The sequence below is a fragment of the Homo sapiens genome, chromosome X (genome assembly GCF_000001405.40).
Source record: "Homo sapiens chromosome X, GRCh38.p14 Primary Assembly".
NCBI lineage: Eukaryota > Metazoa > Chordata > Mammalia > Primates > Hominidae > Homo > Homo sapiens.
Genome location: NC_000023.11, coordinates 152,753,918 through 152,769,728, shown reverse-complemented (window position 1 = coordinate 152,769,728; position 15,811 = coordinate 152,753,918). Strand labels below are relative to the sequence as shown.

Genomic DNA, 15,811 nt, shown 5'->3' with positions numbered 1-15,811 from the left:
ATTCTCGCCCTGAGCAACGAGCGACGGCCTGACGTCGGCGGAGGGAAGCCGGCCCAGGCTCGGTGAGGAGGCAAGGTAAGACGCTGAGGGAGGACTGAGGCGGGCCTCACCTCAGACAGAGGGCCTCAAATAATCCAGTGCTGCCTCTGCTGCCGGGCCTGGGCCACCCCGCAGGGGAAGACTTCCAGGCTGGGTCGCCACTACCTCACCCCGCCGACCCCCGCCGCTTTAGCCACGGGGAACTCTGGGGACAGAGCTTAATGTGGCCAGGGCAGGGCTGGTTAGAAGAGGTCAGGGCCCACGCTGTGGCAGGAATCAAGGTCAGGACCCCGAGAGGGAACTGAGGGCAGCCTAACCACCACCCTCACCACCATTCCCGTCCCCCAACACCAACCCCACCCCCATCCCCCATTCCCCATTCCCATCCCCACCCCCACCCCTATCCTGGCAGAATCCGGGCTTTGCCCCTGGTATCAAGTCACGGAAGCTCCGGGAATGGCGGCCAGGCACGTGAGTCCTGAGGTTCACATCTACGGCTAAGGGAGGGAAGGGGTTCGGTATCGCGAGTATGGCCGTTGGGAGGCAGCGAAAGGGCCCAGGCCCTCCTGGAAGACAGTGGAGTCCTGAGGGGACCCAGCATGCCAGGACAGGGGGCCCACTGTACCCCTGTCTCAAACCGAGGCACCTTTTCATTCGGCTACGGGAATCCTAGGGATGCAGACCCACTTCAGCAGGGGGTTGGGGCCCAGCCCTGCGAGGAGTCATGGGGAGGAAGAAGAGGGAGGACTGAGGGGACCTTGGAGTCCAGATCAGTGGCAACCTTGGGCTGGGGGATGCTGGGCACAGTGGCCAAATGTGCTCTGTGCTCATTGCGCCTTCAGGGTGACCAGAGAGTTGAGGGCTGTGGTCTGAAGAGTGGGACTTCAGGTCAGCAGAGGGAGGAATCCCAGGATCTGCAGGGCCCAAGGTGTACCCCCAAGGGGCCCCTATGTGGTGGACAGATGCAGTGGTCCTAGGATCTGCCAAGCATCCAGGTGAAGAGACTGAGGGAGGATTGAGGGTACCCCTGGGACAGAATGCGGACTGGGGGCCCCATAAAAATCTGCCCTGCTCCTGCTGTTACCTCAGAGAGCCTGGGCAGGGCTGTCAGCTGAGGTCCCTCCATTATCCTAGGATCACTGATGTCAGGGAAGGGGAAGCCTTGGTCTGAGGGGACTGCACTCAGGGCAGTAGAGGGAGGCTCTCAGACCCTACTAGGAGTGGAGGTGAGGACCAAGCAGTCTCCTCACCCAGGGTACATGGACTTCAATAAATTTGGACATCTCTCGTTGTCCTTTCCGGGAGGACCTGGGAATGTATGGCCAGATGTGGGTCCCCTCATGTTTTTCTGTACCATATCAGGTATGTGAGTTCTTGACATGAGAGATTCTCAGGCCAGCAGAAGGGAGGGATTAGGTCCTATAAGGAGAAAGGTGAGGGCCCTGAGTGAGCACAGAGGGGATCCTCCACCCCAGTAGAGTGGGGACCTCACAGAGTCTGGCCAACCCTCCTGACAGTTCTGGGAATCCGTGGCTGCGTTTGCTGTCTGCACATTGGGGGCCCGTGGATTCCTCTCCCAGGAATCAGGAGCTCCAGGAACAAGGCAGTGAGGACTTGGTCTGAGGCAGTGTCCTCAGGTCACAGAGTAGAGGGGGCTCAGATAGTGCCAACGGTGAAGGTTTGCCTTGGATTCAAACCAAGGGCCCCACCTGCCCCAGAACACATGGACTCCAGAGCGCCTGGCCTCACCCTCAATACTTTCAGTCCTGCAGCCTCAGCATGTGCTGGCCGGATGTACCCTGAGGTGCCCTCTCACTTCCTCCTTCAGGTTCTGAGGGGACAGGCTGACGTGGAGGAACAGAGGCCCCCGGAGGAGCACTGAAGGAGAAGATCTGTAAGTAAGCCTTTGTTAGAGCCTCCAAGGTTCCATTCAGTACTCAGCTGAGGTCTCTCACATGCTCCCTCTCTCCCCAGGCCAGTGGGTCTCCATTGCCCAGCTCCTGCCCACACTCCCGCCTGTTGCCCTGACCAGAGTCATCATGCCTCTTGAGCAGAGGAGTCAGCACTGCAAGCCTGAAGAAGGCCTTGAGGCCCGAGGAGAGGCCCTGGGCCTGGTGGGTGCGCAGGCTCCTGCTACTGAGGAGCAGGAGGCTGCCTCCTCCTCTTCTACTCTAGTTGAAGTCACCCTGGGGGAGGTGCCTGCTGCCGAGTCACCAGATCCTCCCCAGAGTCCTCAGGGAGCCTCCAGCCTCCCCACTACCATGAACTACCCTCTCTGGAGCCAATCCTATGAGGACTCCAGCAACCAAGAAGAGGAGGGGCCAAGCACCTTCCCTGACCTGGAGTCTGAGTTCCAAGCAGCACTCAGTAGGAAGGTGGCCAAGTTGGTTCATTTTCTGCTCCTCAAGTATCGAGCCAGGGAGCCGGTCACAAAGGCAGAAATGCTGGGGAGTGTCGTCGGAAATTGGCAGTACTTCTTTCCTGTGATCTTCAGCAAAGCTTCCGATTCCTTGCAGCTGGTCTTTGGCATCGAGCTGATGGAAGTGGACCCCATCGGCCACGTGTACATCTTTGCCACCTGCCTGGGCCTCTCCTACGATGGCCTGCTGGGTGACAATCAGATCATGCCCAAGACAGGCTTCCTGATAATCATCCTGGCCATAATCGCAAAAGAGGGCGACTGTGCCCCTGAGGAGAAAATCTGGGAGGAGCTGAGTGTGTTAGAGGTGTTTGAGGGGAGGGAAGACAGTATCTTCGGGGATCCCAAGAAGCTGCTCACCCAATATTTCGTGCAGGAAAACTACCTGGAGTACCGGCAGGTCCCCGGCAGTGATCCTGCATGCTATGAGTTCCTGTGGGGTCCAAGGGCCCTCATTGAAACCAGCTATGTGAAAGTCCTGCACCATATGGTAAAGATCAGTGGAGGACCTCGCATTTCCTACCCACTCCTGCATGAGTGGGCTTTGAGAGAGGGGGAAGAGTGAGTCTGAGCACGAGTTGCAGCCAGGGCCAGTGGGAGGGGGTTTGGGCCAGTGCACCTTCCGGGGCCCCATCCCTTAGTTTCCACTGCCTCCTGTGACGTGAGGCCCATTCTTCACTCTTTGAAGCGAGCAGTCAGCATTCTTAGTAGTGGGTTTCTGTTCTGTTGGATGACTTTGAGATTATTCTTTGTTTCCTGTTGGAGTTGTTCAAATGTTCCTTTTAACGGATGGTTGAATGAGCGTCAGCATCCAGGTTTATGAATGACAGTAGTCACACATAGTGCTGTTTATATAGTTTAGGAGTAAGAGTCTTGTTTTTTATTCAGATTGGGAAATCCATTCCATTTTGTGAATTGTGACATAATAATAGCAGTGGTAAAAGTATTTGCTTAAAATTGTGAGCGAATTAGCAATAACATACATGAGATAACTCAAGAAATCAAAAGATAGTTGATTCTTGCCTTGTACCTCAATCTATTCTGTAAAATTAAACAAATATGCAAACCAGGATTTCCTTGACTTCTTTGAGAATGCAAGCGAAATTAAATCTGAATAAATAATTCTTCCTCTTCACTGGCTCGTTTCTTTTCCGTTCACTCAGCATCTGCTCTGTGGGAGGCCCTGGGTTAGTAGTGGGGATGCTAAGGTAAGCCAGACTCACGCCTACCCATAGGGCTGTAGAGCCTAGGACCTGCAGTCATATAATTAAGGTGGTGAGAAGTCCTGTAAGATGTAGAGGAAATGTAAGAGAGGGGTGAGGGTGTGGCGCTCCGGGTGAGAGTAGTGGAGTGTCAGTGCCCTGAGCTGGGGCATTTTGGGCTTTGGGAAACTTCAGTTCCTTCTGAAGGAGCTGACTCTAATGAAGTTGGGTGGGCCCAGAGCCAGATTCTCAGAGTGTGGGAGAAAAGCCTGGAATGGAAAGCAACTCTGAGCAGTTTCTTTCGAATGGGGGATGAACAGAGAGGAATCTCTACCTCAGGCAGGAATGGAAGGTGTCGTCTGCTTTTGTCCCACTGCTGTTGAACGCAGCCCAAGATCTAGGTGATGGACACCCATCATCTGCAAGGGTTTCCTGAGCGATAAGGCTGAATTTCCCAGGAAGGGTGGCCCAGAAGCCCCTGGCCAGGTGCTTTTCTGCCGGGCAGGGAGAGGCAGAGCTGACTCCATTAAAAAAGGCATTCCAACTAGGTTATCTCAAGTGCAATTTGACCAATTGTAAGCACGGGCTAGATTTTGGATGGTAACAAAATGGATGAAAATGGTGGTTTGGGTGGGAAAGCAGCTGGGAGAGAGAGAAGCAGTTGGTCTTTTGACGCAGATTGTAGGAGCTCCGAGCTGCACCTGGCTGGGCGAAACTCCTGCACACCCAAATTTTGAAGTGCATTCTCTGAGAGGAAATACTTAACTGAATTTTATGGAAGAAGCTTCTGTTTGGGGCTAATTATTCCATGTCCTATTGAGCTGTATATTCTCTGGTAAGTCCTGGAGAACAACGACAGCAACAACAAAATCCCGGAGTGTTAGGGCCTCGGGTTAAAAAATATTGGAAATAACAGCCATCCGCCATTTGTTAAACTTCTAATTTATACCAGGCCCGGAGTCAGGTGCTTCACCTGCGTTGCATACACTCCAACTGTCCTACTAGACAGTCCTTATCACATCTGCTTACAGATGAAGAATCCAAGGCTCACAGGGTGTGTGAATTGGGATATAAAAACAGGGTATTTCCTGGGTATTTCCCAGGATCACGTGGCTAGTGAGGAACAGGGCAGAACCCGACCCCTGTTCTGAATTCCTTTAGAGCCCATGCTGTTCCCACTTCTCCCAGCCCGAGGCTGACCTCCTGACAGCGACTTCATTTTTCTTCTCAGCACTGCACCATGTCTCTCAGGTGACAAAAAGAAGGACCTCGAGGCCAGCGTAATAAAGCAGGCCTGGAGAACGCGACAATGAGAATCAAACACCATTTGGGGCTGGTGTGCGCTGGGTTCCCTGAGAGCTGACACTGGCAAGATGTGTTCATTTCTGTCCAGCCCCAGCACTTTCAGAATTACAGCACATTTCCCCGGGTCACTTCCATGTGTCCTGTCTGACTCCGGAACCTATAGGGCCTGCTGATCAGCTCCTCACTGGTCCCCACAGAACAGCCCAGAATCCCCTGCTCACCTCCTGACAGGGAGCATTCCTTCTCACAGTAGAAGTCCTCTGGCTGTCCCGTCTCTCACCCAGGAAGCCATATGATATCAACAATCCTTTTGATATAAAAATTCACATGGGGACAGTGACGTTTAGACACCTGGTTACCACTCCGGTTGTCTTCAACACACTCTCTAATTGTTTTCTGAAAGGGCTGAGTAGTCTGTTTCTCCATATTATCTAAGGGTTCTTGTGTGATGTCACCCTGAAGTGAGAGGAATTTGGAACCACCTTGATACCTGAAATCAGACTTTCACAGGGCGTCCTTTTGGAATTCGCCTCTGAATACATGCACAGATAAATGGTCAAAGAGCAAACCATCCCTCATGAGTACTAGATGAGAAAAACCTTGGGAAATCCCAGTGGAACAAACATCTACTTACTGAGGCTGAATTCCTAAATTTCTGGAGTCCTCCAGGAGTCTAAAAACGATTCCTTGAAAACATGTCAACTCTAATGAAAGAGGAATAATTAAGCAGCCTTCTGTTTCTTGTCTGTTTACCTGCTCCACGGGAAAATACTGGCCTTTATTGTGCCTACAGGCACTCGAGAGGTGTTCAGGCTTGTGGAGGGTAGCAGAAATTCACAGGTTAACATTTTGACCGGGAATCAAATGGAGGAAAAATGCTCAGCCTACTAAGGATTAAAGGGTATTGCAAAGGGAAGCCTTCTCGCCGAGACTTCCAAGATTCTTGGGCAGTTAGTTGTGATCGTATATTTGAAAACATCAGTTACATATTTGACACTGGAAAAAGTTGGAGAATGTCACGGCAAATTTGGCCTTCTCAGAAACTCCTCCTAGAAATGAGAAGGGTAGTGTAATACCAAAGAATCACAGTTGTTTTTGTTGAGCACCTACTATGTAACAGTTTATGGGGGAGGGTATAGTACTCACACACATTTTGTCTCTGTCTCCTTCCTGGACACATGGGAACAGTAAAGTCCTTGCAGTTAGGATGGGTCATGTGACATTTCCTTTATACCAATATAGGAGCAGAAGCATTGTTTGTCACATCCAGGCATGTGGGAGCCAGTGTGCCATTTCCAAGCTTTCTCTCCGCTTTCACTAGCAAACATGGCAGCTTCATCTTGAGATGACGGAATCACAAGGTGGAAGCAGCTTGGATTCCTGGGTCCCGTGAGAGTGGAGAGCCCCTGGCAAACTGCATCAGAACTTATTTGCACATAAAATAAACTTGTGTTGTGGCAAGCCATTCGTGGTTGTTCTGTTGCAATGGCTAGCAGTTACTTAAACTGACATGGCTAGTATTTCTGTTTGTCAGGTTTAATTTTTTTTTATTTAAAATGTAGTATTGTACATATTCTTATTGCAAAACTTATAGAAATGTAGATAATTCACAATTTTCCCCTTTACAAATCTCCTCCACATTTAACAACGCCCACCACCCCCACCGCCCCCTCAGAGGTCACCACAATTAACGGTGTTGTATATTATTTTACTGCTGACTCTAGGCTTCTCACTGACAGATAAACTATAACAATATGTTGTTTTTATTTAATATACAAGAACAATGATATACATACTGATATTCTTTTATCACTTTATAAAATGGATGTAGGATCTTTCCACAACGGTAGATAGATAGATAGATAGATAGATCTTTCTCACTTTTGAAACCACTTTCTATAATTCTAAAGTAGACATGCACCACAATTAATTAAACTCTTTCTTCCTAGTGGACATATAAGTTGTTTCCCATTTGCTGTATGATAACTACAATAAAATCAACATCTCTGAATATGAATTTTTAGGCAAACATGGTTTTCTTATAAGAAGGATATATTAACATGGACACTGGGTTAAAGTGAAAGGGTGAAAATAGTTTAACATTTAAAATATTTCTAAAATGTTATTACAAAAGTGCTGTACCAATTCAAATTCTCATAAAAATCACAATTGATTTAAAATTCTGAAATGTGGACAGGACATTTCTTCTCTGCTTTGAGAAGGATTTGGTGAGACTGAAGAGGAGCCAGGTAATGAGAGCAGACAGGAGACCCTCAGCCCGTGAGGGAGGATCCAGGGAGGATCCTGGGGAGAGCCGTTGCTAGCGTCCATGAGAGAGACCACATGCGAAACCAAGTCCACAGAGCCCCAGGCAGGCTGTCACTCCGAGCTCTAAATCCAGACTTCAGGCCGGTGGGGTCAGGGGCCTGAGGGAGAGAAGGGGGAAGGGAGGAGGGAGGACAGGACAATGAATAGGAATAGAGTTGGGAAATCCCGGCAACATCATCACCAGCTGGAGGGAGCCCTGTGATCTGAGTGTTGGCTGAATGCACCAGGGCTGTGCTGGTCAACCTTCCCGCCCTCAGAATCCCCTTCCCTCTCTCAGGAAGAGCTTGGCTGACTCCCTGCGTCATTCTGGGCCAGCTACCTCTCTTGAACACTCCAGTGGTCCTTTGTACCTTCACCAGCGTCCCAGATGTGGGAACTGTCTTCATGCCTGCTGGGGGCTGGTGTTTTATCCCCCGGGGACCTTCTATAGAGGCTGGGCTATGTGAGTGGGTTGCTGACTGATGACCAACTGCCGAGACAGGCCAGGAATGCCCATGAGCAGTTGAAAGGGGCAGTGGGGCTGCATGGAGGAGAAATGGGAGGAGGAGTGCCCTGGGACTAGTCAGCTCAGACTCTGCAGATGAAGGATTGGCTGTGGACGTGCCTTGAAAATGTTCCAGTTGGCCACTGTGTCTCAGATAGCCTTCTGTGGCTTCTGAACCCTTGGCACAGAACGGGACAGGAGTCCTAGGGCAGTGACCGCTGGCGTATGTTGCCAGATGACAGTGTCTGGGGTAGGGGGCTGGACCAAGGTGTGTACGTGAGCAGGTTGTATGGCAAGGCAGTGCAGGTGGCAGCTTTCCTTGTTAAACTGATGGGGACGTGTGGGGTCCAATACAGGAAGCATCCTGTTGGGAGCATCCTCACCTCCATGACAGTGTTTGGGCCTGGGGAGAAGGCATCTGCAGTGACCCTCTCCGTGGTAGTTTCCACAGGGTTTCTGAACCCAAGTGAGCACAGGTGAAGGAACTGTGGGTTTCTTCATGTAGGCAGGAGGCCCAGGAAGGGCAGACTCCATAATTTGAATCAAAGAATTCCCATGCCAGGTGATTTCATTCATTCCATGCACGTATTGATTCCTACAGAAAACTTTTATTCAATATATGCTGAGGAAACACCAAGTCAACAAAACAATAGAAAGTGGCAAGGCCCTTAATTCAGTCTGTAGGGAGTCGGGGGAGATGAAGAGGTGGTGTGAATCGCCCATCTGAGCCAGGGAAGCCAGGAAGGCAGAGCCAGACTTGGGGACTGGCAGTGTGCAAGAAAAGGAGAGACAGCCTGTGTCCGGGCCAGAAAGCTCTCCTTCTATTACACTATCGATCTGGTTTTCTTCCTGGATGCTGCCTGTGTGTGAAAGCAACTGCTGCTCTCTGTGCCTACCTGCCTCTGTTAGTAGGGAAAATGGTCATGGTCAGCGGATGCTCACTTCTGCTCACCTTGGATCACTTCTACTGAAGGGATGGTTTGACAACAAGAAGACAGGAAGAAACTTTTGGGGAGGATGAATATATTTTTCACCTTCACTGTGGTTGTGGTTTCATGGGACTAAACATTTCTCAAAACTCTTTGATTTGTTTCTCAGTACTTAGGAGAAAAAGTAAGCAGAAAACCAGGAAGGATATAGATGACCTGAAAAGCACCATTAACTACTCTGACTAAATAAAACAATAAGAAAAGCACCGCATTCAACAATAGCAGAATAAACAATCCTCTCAAGTGTGCATGAAATATCTCCCAAGATAGATGGTATTCTGGGCCATCAAACAAAGCTTACAAATTGAAAAGAATAGAAATAATAGATAGCCTCTTCTTAGGCCATAATATAATTAAACTCAAAACCAAACACCAAGATATCTGAAAAACGCCCAAATATTGGAAATTTTAAAATAAGCTCCTATATAACCTATGGGTCAAAGAGGGAGTCTCAGGAGAATTTTAAAAATACATTAAGTTGAATGAAAGTAAAAATGTACATACAAAAAGTGGGATTCTGCTAAAGTGTGTCCTTGAGGGAAATATATAGCATATTTTAAATGTTTATATTAGAAAATGAAATCTAAAATCAATAACCAAAAGTTTCACCCTAGGAAACCAAAGAACGAAGAGCAAGTTGAATTAGAGAAATTGTAGAGGATGCCCCCCTCCCTTCCCACACTCCTACCTCTTTCCCCTTACTCCCTACCCCTACCATTTGAGACACACAGACACACACATCATTTTGCAACATGTTCACTTTATTTTCATCACCATGGGGCACACTCTTTGGGGTGTAAAATGTACTCTACACCCTGTTGGCTATTTATCTGGGGTTAGACCTCTGGAGACTTTTCAGATAGACTTGAAGTCTCTGGCCTTGCCCGGGAATTACTGGCTGTCCGAAGAGAGACTGGAGAAGGTGGTGGTCTCCTTGCCCTTGTGGTCCCGCTATGGCTCATTTTGATTGAGTTCCTCGTTCGGCTGGTCAGAGTGGCTGGATAGTGTTGGCCCACTCCATTCCTCAGGTTTTTTTGAAGCGGCGGTCTTTTAGGGAGAGCCTTTTGTTCCTGGAACTTCCTTGATGGGTCCCTTTTCCCTTCCGGGTTGTCTTGGGAACCTGGAAGGAAACAGGGAGATCAAAGAAGGGCACTGGTTTGGGGAAGAGGATGGAGGAGGGGTGAGAACAGGGGCTTCATAGAGAAATGGTGCAGGCTGGGGTGGGGGTTGTGCCAGGGGAGGACAGGGTAGGAGTCAGAGCTTGGGTGGGCCGTTCACTTTGATAGGGCTTCTGGGCCAGGGTTGAGAGGATGCCTTCCACTTCCTCGCCTCTTTGGTGTTGGTGGGTGGTTGTTGGACAATGGGCTGGAGGCTCGTGGTTTCCTGGACATCTTCACCAGACCAGCGTCTCTCAACAGTCTACTCCAGTCCACCTGGTCTCTCCAAGCCTCCCCCAGGACAGTGAAGGCAGGCCAGCAGGCTAGAAACTCACAGCGCATTTTTATGTTAGTCTTGTGGTAGAATTCCTTTTCCAGGAAACCTTGGTCTTTTCTCTTAACACCTTCAACTAATTGGATGAGGCCCATCCACATTATGGAAGTTAAACTGCTTTACTTAAAATCAACTGATTGTAAATGTTGATCACATCTACAAAATACCTTCACAGCAACATCTAGACTACTGTTTGACCACACAGCTGAGCAGTATAGCCTAGACAAGTTGACACATAGTACTAGCCATTGCACATATCTTGCACCATACAGAAATGTAACTCAAAATGAACTACAGACTTTAAATGTCAAAATTACTTTTTTTTTTTCTAGGAGGAAACAAAAAAAAAATTGTGTCACCTGAAGTTATGTCTTAAGTCAGCTCAGGCTGCCATAACAAAATGCCATTGAGTGAGTAGCTAAAACAACAGAAATTTATTTTTTTTCTCACAGTTTTGAAGTCTGGAAGTCCTAGATCAAGGACTGGCGGGGTTGGCTTCTGGTGATGGCCTTATTCGTGGCTTGTAGATGGCCCTTTATTAATCTGTCCATTCTTGGCCTTTCCTCTGTGCATGTGCAGAGAGAGAGAGAAAGAAAGAGAGAGAGAGAGAGAGAGAGAGAGAGAGAGAGAGAGAGAGAGAGAAAGAGAGAGAGAGAGAGAGAGAGAAAGGTCATGTAGGCACAAAAGTACTTTCTTCTGTCTCTTCTCCCTTCTTATAACCAAACTAATTCTATGGGATCAAGGTCCCACCCTTATGGCCTCTTTTAACATTAATCACTTCCCTAGAAGCCTCATCTCCAAATACAGACACCCTGGGGCTGAGGGCTTCAAAATATGAATTTGGTGGAGGACATAAGCATTAGCAAAGAATAGACACACAGATTAATAAAACAGAATAGAGCTCAGAAATAGACCTGCACGCATATAGTCAGGTGATTCACAACAAAGGCAATAATGGTGAAAGTACAGGTTTTCCAACAAAAGGTGTCGGAACAATTAGACACCTATACACAAATTATAATAACCTGGACATATCCTTACATATTCCATGAAAACTAACTCAAGATACATCATAGGTCTAATGAAAAATGCAAAAACAATACAACCTCTATAAGAAAACATAAGAGAAAATCCACATAACTTTGAGTTTGGTGATGAGTTTTTAAATTCAACACCAAAAGCATGATCAAGGAAAGAAAAATTTGCCAAGTTGATTTTATTAAAATAAAAATCTTATGCTCTTCAAAGGACAATGTTAAGAGAATGAAAACAGAAGCCACAGACTAGCAGAAAACATCTGCGGTACACATATGTGATAAAGAACTTGTCTCTACAATATATGCGAATTCTTAAAGCTCAATGATAGAAAAAATGAAAATAGTCAAAGATCTGAACACACACTACACAAAAGAAGATATACACATGGCAAATAAGCATAATAAAAGTACTGAGCACCCTTTGGCATTAGATAATTGTGTACTAAAATGGGATACCACTGCACACCTATCAGAATGTCCAAAATCCATAGAAAACCAAAACAAAGAATACAAGACCAAGAACAATTGCCAGCGAAGATGTGGAGCAACGGAAACTCTCCTTCATTGCTGGTAGAAATGCAAAATGGCACAGCCACTTTGGAAGGCAGTTTGGCGTTTTCTTAAAAAAATGAAAATAGACTTAGCACAAGATTCAGCAGCCATACTCAATCAATTTACCCAATTGATTTGAAAACTTATGTCTACATAAAAATTTGTATATGAATGTATACAATAGCTTATTTCATAATCACCAAAAATAGAAGCATCCAAAATGTATTTCATTTGGTGAATGGATATATATATATATACATATATATATATATATATAACCAGACATTGATACTACTCCTCAATGAAAAGGAATAAGTTCCAAGCCACACAAAGTTATACATGACTCTTCAGTTCATTATGCTAAGTGAAAGAAACCAGTCTAAAAAGGCTACATAGTATAAGATTCTATTTATATGACATTCTGGAAAATGCAAAATTATAAAGATGAAAAACCTATCAGTGGTGGCCATGGGGTTTATCCGACAAGCACAAGGGAATTTATCAGGGCAGTGAAACTGGTATGCATAATACTGCAATGGTGGTTCCGTGCTTGCTTTGGTCTGAATATTTGTGTTGCCACAAAATTCATCTGCTGAATTACCAAGGTGATGGTATTAGGCAGAAGGTGGGGTATTTGGAGAATGACTAGATCATGAGAGCAGAGTCCTCATGAATGGGATTAGTGTTTTTATAAAACAGACTCCACGGAGATCCCTTATCCCTTCTTGCATGTGAGGATCTAGGGAAAAGGCAGCTGTCTATGAACTAGGGAGCAGGACTCCACCAGACATGAAATCTGCCAGCACCTTGATCTTGGACTTCCCAACCTCCAGAATGTGAGAAATAAAGTTGCGTTGTCTATAAGCCACCCAGTCTATCACTATTTTTGTTATGGAAGCCCAAACGGACTAAGACAATGGCACGAGGCATTTGTCAAAACCCATAGATCTTTACAGCACAAAGAGTGAAGCTTAATGTATGTAAAGTTTAAAAGTAACTTAAGAGGTTGGAGAATCACGGGACGGCAGGTAGAATGTTCCACACACACACACACACACACACACACCTAGTTGTATAATAGATATATGAAACCACCACAATGAAGCAAGTGGGGGGAAAAGTTAACACATTTTGTACTCCATCAAAGAAATATATATTTTATAAAGTTTAAGTTGGCCAGATAAGTGTGTAACATAGTTGAACATTTGATAATCATTTATTTAATTTTTTAGATATGAAAACTATCGGCTTTTTGTTTTAAAAAAATCCTTATCTTTTAAAAATGCATATTAAGTTATTTAGAGATGAAATGGTCTAATGCCTTAGATTTACTCCACGTTATTCCAGCAGCTCATATGCAGGTAGGCGAGTGTTTAACTGGAACCAGATTTGCTGTGTATTTAAAGATGTTCATGCTCGGTATCAAGTATCCTGGGTTCATTATATTCGTTCCTGTTATTCTGTATGTGTGAAGGCTTTCCCTAATAAAACTTTTTTATCATAAATATGCCATTAAAAGTGAAATCCTAAATGAAACTGACCACTTTGTAGAAATAAAATAAATCAGTAACCAAACTGATCCAAAGAGGAAAAGAAAACTTTAACTATACAACAGAAACTGTACAATATTCAAAGCTCAAGCCACCCTCAAACATTCCAGGTTAGACAGCTTTGGAGGCCAATTTTACCAAATGATCAGGGAAAACTAACCACCGCCTTATATCAACTCTTCCAGAACATACAAAAGACTGACAATTGTTCAGTTCATTCTCCCAGGCTAGCCCTCCTGGATTTAAAAACCAGATGAGGACCACATACCTCCCCTGATGGAAAAAGAACACATCAAGTAAGCTCTCTTACACAGCAGTAAATATCCTACATAAATTAGTAGTACATTAAACGAATAAACAGGCTCTGCCCAAGGAAATAAAATATGATTTAACATTAGAAAAAACATCTGTTTCATTGTGATTCCTTACATACAAAATGGAAGAGAAAAAAATTTGATCCTGCCAACGGGTACAGAAAAAGCTTTTTAAATAAATTTAATATGAATTCATGGTAAAAAAGAAAATATTTAGGCAACCTATACTGAAAGAGAACTTCCATTTCCTAAAATCAACAGCAAACATACTTAAATGTCAAATGTTCGAAGAATTATCATTCAAGTCAGGAACGAGAAGTAGATGTAGCCTATTATCTCTACATTTGAAATCAGGATTGAGACACAAAGAGCTGTAAGTACCGAAATGAGTGAGTGGTATGAACATTGGAAAAACATGTAGTGTTTAGTGATAATACCATTATCGATCTTGAAAATTCAAAGGAAAAGGTATGCGGAATATTCAAGTGCATCGGCCTTCAGAACGAGGTGTGCAACAGATTACTACAGCAAAATCAAAATCTTCACCTCACGAAAGCAATAACTAACTACAACAATTGATAGACAATATGCCACTTGCAATAGCAACAAAATCCAAGAATTACCTGAATAGAAGCCTAATAAAAATGTATAAGTTGTTTATAGAGGCAACTACCGAAGTATACTGACATATTCAGGAAAAAAGAGCTTGAAATCCATAGAGGAGTATAACATATTCATTCACGGGGAACACAACAGTGTAAAAATGTAAACTCAGCTTAAATTATTTACAATTTAGTGCCTTACCTGTAGCCGCCGACATTACAAGCAAATTTGGGCTGCTGTGCTCTGCTTCCCAAATCAACCCTGTAAATTTATAGAATGGAAACAGAAAGTAAAACACCAGTATCAGCAAGAAAATCTACACAACAAAACAGGGAAAGCCCAGAGTGAGACTGGAGACTGTGTTGAGCTGGTACTTGTGTGTGACACTTGCAGTGTCTGTTGGAGGGGGTTAGCGGCAGAGATGTTGGGGAGGTTTGTAGCCTGCCTAGACGGCAGATGAAAGAATGGGTAGAATAAAAGTTTTGAATTTTCCACTTCACTTCATTGCACAATCTGAGGCAGCCCCTGAAAACACGATGCCAAGAGCCCTAGGTAATAGCAGTGTCCACCAGGAAAATTGGGTTTGTTAAGGCAGCATGGCTCCAGAGTTCTGCTAATAACAACCTGAAACCAACAGAGTGGGAGAGGAATTATGTTTTTTAAAAAAATTCTTTCAACAGAACACAAAGACTGGAATGGAAGTAGACTAGGATATCAGAGTGAATCATGCATACTAAGGGTAGGTGTTAGTTCATAGAAATAAATATATATATTGCTACCTACATATATACTTAGAAGATATGTAAACCGTATTTCTTCAATTCAGAGAATAAATCATTTAGGACCAAAGGTTTGCCAAGTGTAGCTCTGGCTGGGGAGGAGCCCCCGTGGGAAGGTGTGCGTCTTCTCCCAGAGGTCACTATCATCGCGGGAGCTCCTGCCCTGCAGGGAGCACCTGGCCTGGCACCCGCAGCCATTCTCTACAAGGGGTGCAGATGCGCAGATGCGCAGATGCTCAGAGGTGACAGAAACAGAGCATCTCCCACCCATTCCTTCATCAAACAGCCAGGAGTGAGGAAGAGGACCCTCCTGAGTGAGGACTGAGGATCCACCCTCACCCACATAGTGGGACCACAGAATCCAGCTCAGCCCCTCTTGTCAGCCCTGGTACACACTGGCAATGATCTCACCCCGAGCACACCCCTCCCCCCAATGCCACTTCGGGCCGACTCAGAGTCAGAGACTTGGTCTGAGGGGAGCAAACACAATCGGCAGAGGATGGCGGTCCAGGCTCAGTCTGGCATCCAAGTCAGGACCTTGAGGGATGACCAAAGGCCCCTCCCACCCCCAACTCCCCCGACCCCACCAGGATCTACAGCCTCAGGATCCCCGTCCCAATCCCTACCCCTACACCAACACCATCTTCATGCTTACCCCCACCCCCCCATCCAGATCCCCATCCGGGCAGAATCCGGTTCCACCCTTGCCGTGAACCCAG

General features: G+C 46.0%; 2 protein-coding genes across 7 annotated transcripts; one reads left to right on the top strand and one right to left on the bottom strand.

Moving 5' to 3' along the window:
• The first annotated feature begins 39 nt into the window (after positions 1 to 39).
• On the top strand, positions 40 to 3,593 carry MAGEA6 (MAGE family member A6). Of its 2 annotated transcripts, none has more exons than NM_005363.5 (3): positions 40 to 75; positions 1,868 to 1,933; positions 2,014 to 3,593. In NM_005363.5, the coding sequence occupies exon 3, from the start codon at positions 2,079 to 2,081 to the stop codon at positions 3,021 to 3,023; it is 945 nt and encodes a 314-aa protein (NP_005354.1). In that variant the 5' UTR covers positions 40 to 75; positions 1,868 to 1,933; positions 2,014 to 2,078; the 3' UTR covers positions 3,024 to 3,593. The 2 variants fall into 2 exon arrangements, with proteins under 2 accessions (NP_005354.1, NP_787064.1); NM_175868.4 differs by having other exon boundaries at positions 1,804 to 1,933.
• A 5,916-nt stretch (positions 3,594 to 9,509) lies between these two features.
• On the bottom strand, positions 9,510 to 15,808 carry CSAG3 (CSAG family member 3). 5 transcript variants are annotated; one of them, NR_130638.2, is made up of 5 exons: positions 15,748 to 15,808; positions 14,515 to 14,574; positions 10,708 to 10,822; positions 10,081 to 10,253; positions 9,510 to 9,886 (listed from the first exon to the last, which is right to left on the bottom strand). NR_130638.2 is itself a non-coding variant. In XM_024452379.2 (3 exons), the coding sequence occupies exons 2-3, from the start codon at positions 10,356 to 10,358 to the stop codon at positions 9,817 to 9,819; spliced, it is 384 nt and encodes a 127-aa protein (XP_024308147.1). In that variant the 5' UTR covers positions 10,359 to 10,822; positions 14,515 to 15,280; the 3' UTR covers positions 9,510 to 9,816. The 5 variants fall into 5 exon arrangements, 4 of the variants coding, with proteins under 4 accessions (XP_024308147.1, XP_047298059.1, NP_001123298.1 ...); XM_024452379.2 differs by lacking the exon at positions 15,748 to 15,808 and having other exon boundaries at positions 10,045 to 10,822; positions 14,515 to 15,280; XM_047442103.1 differs by lacking the exon at positions 15,748 to 15,808 and having other exon boundaries at positions 10,096 to 10,822; positions 14,515 to 15,275.
• Positions 15,809 to 15,811: the final 3 nt, after the last annotated feature.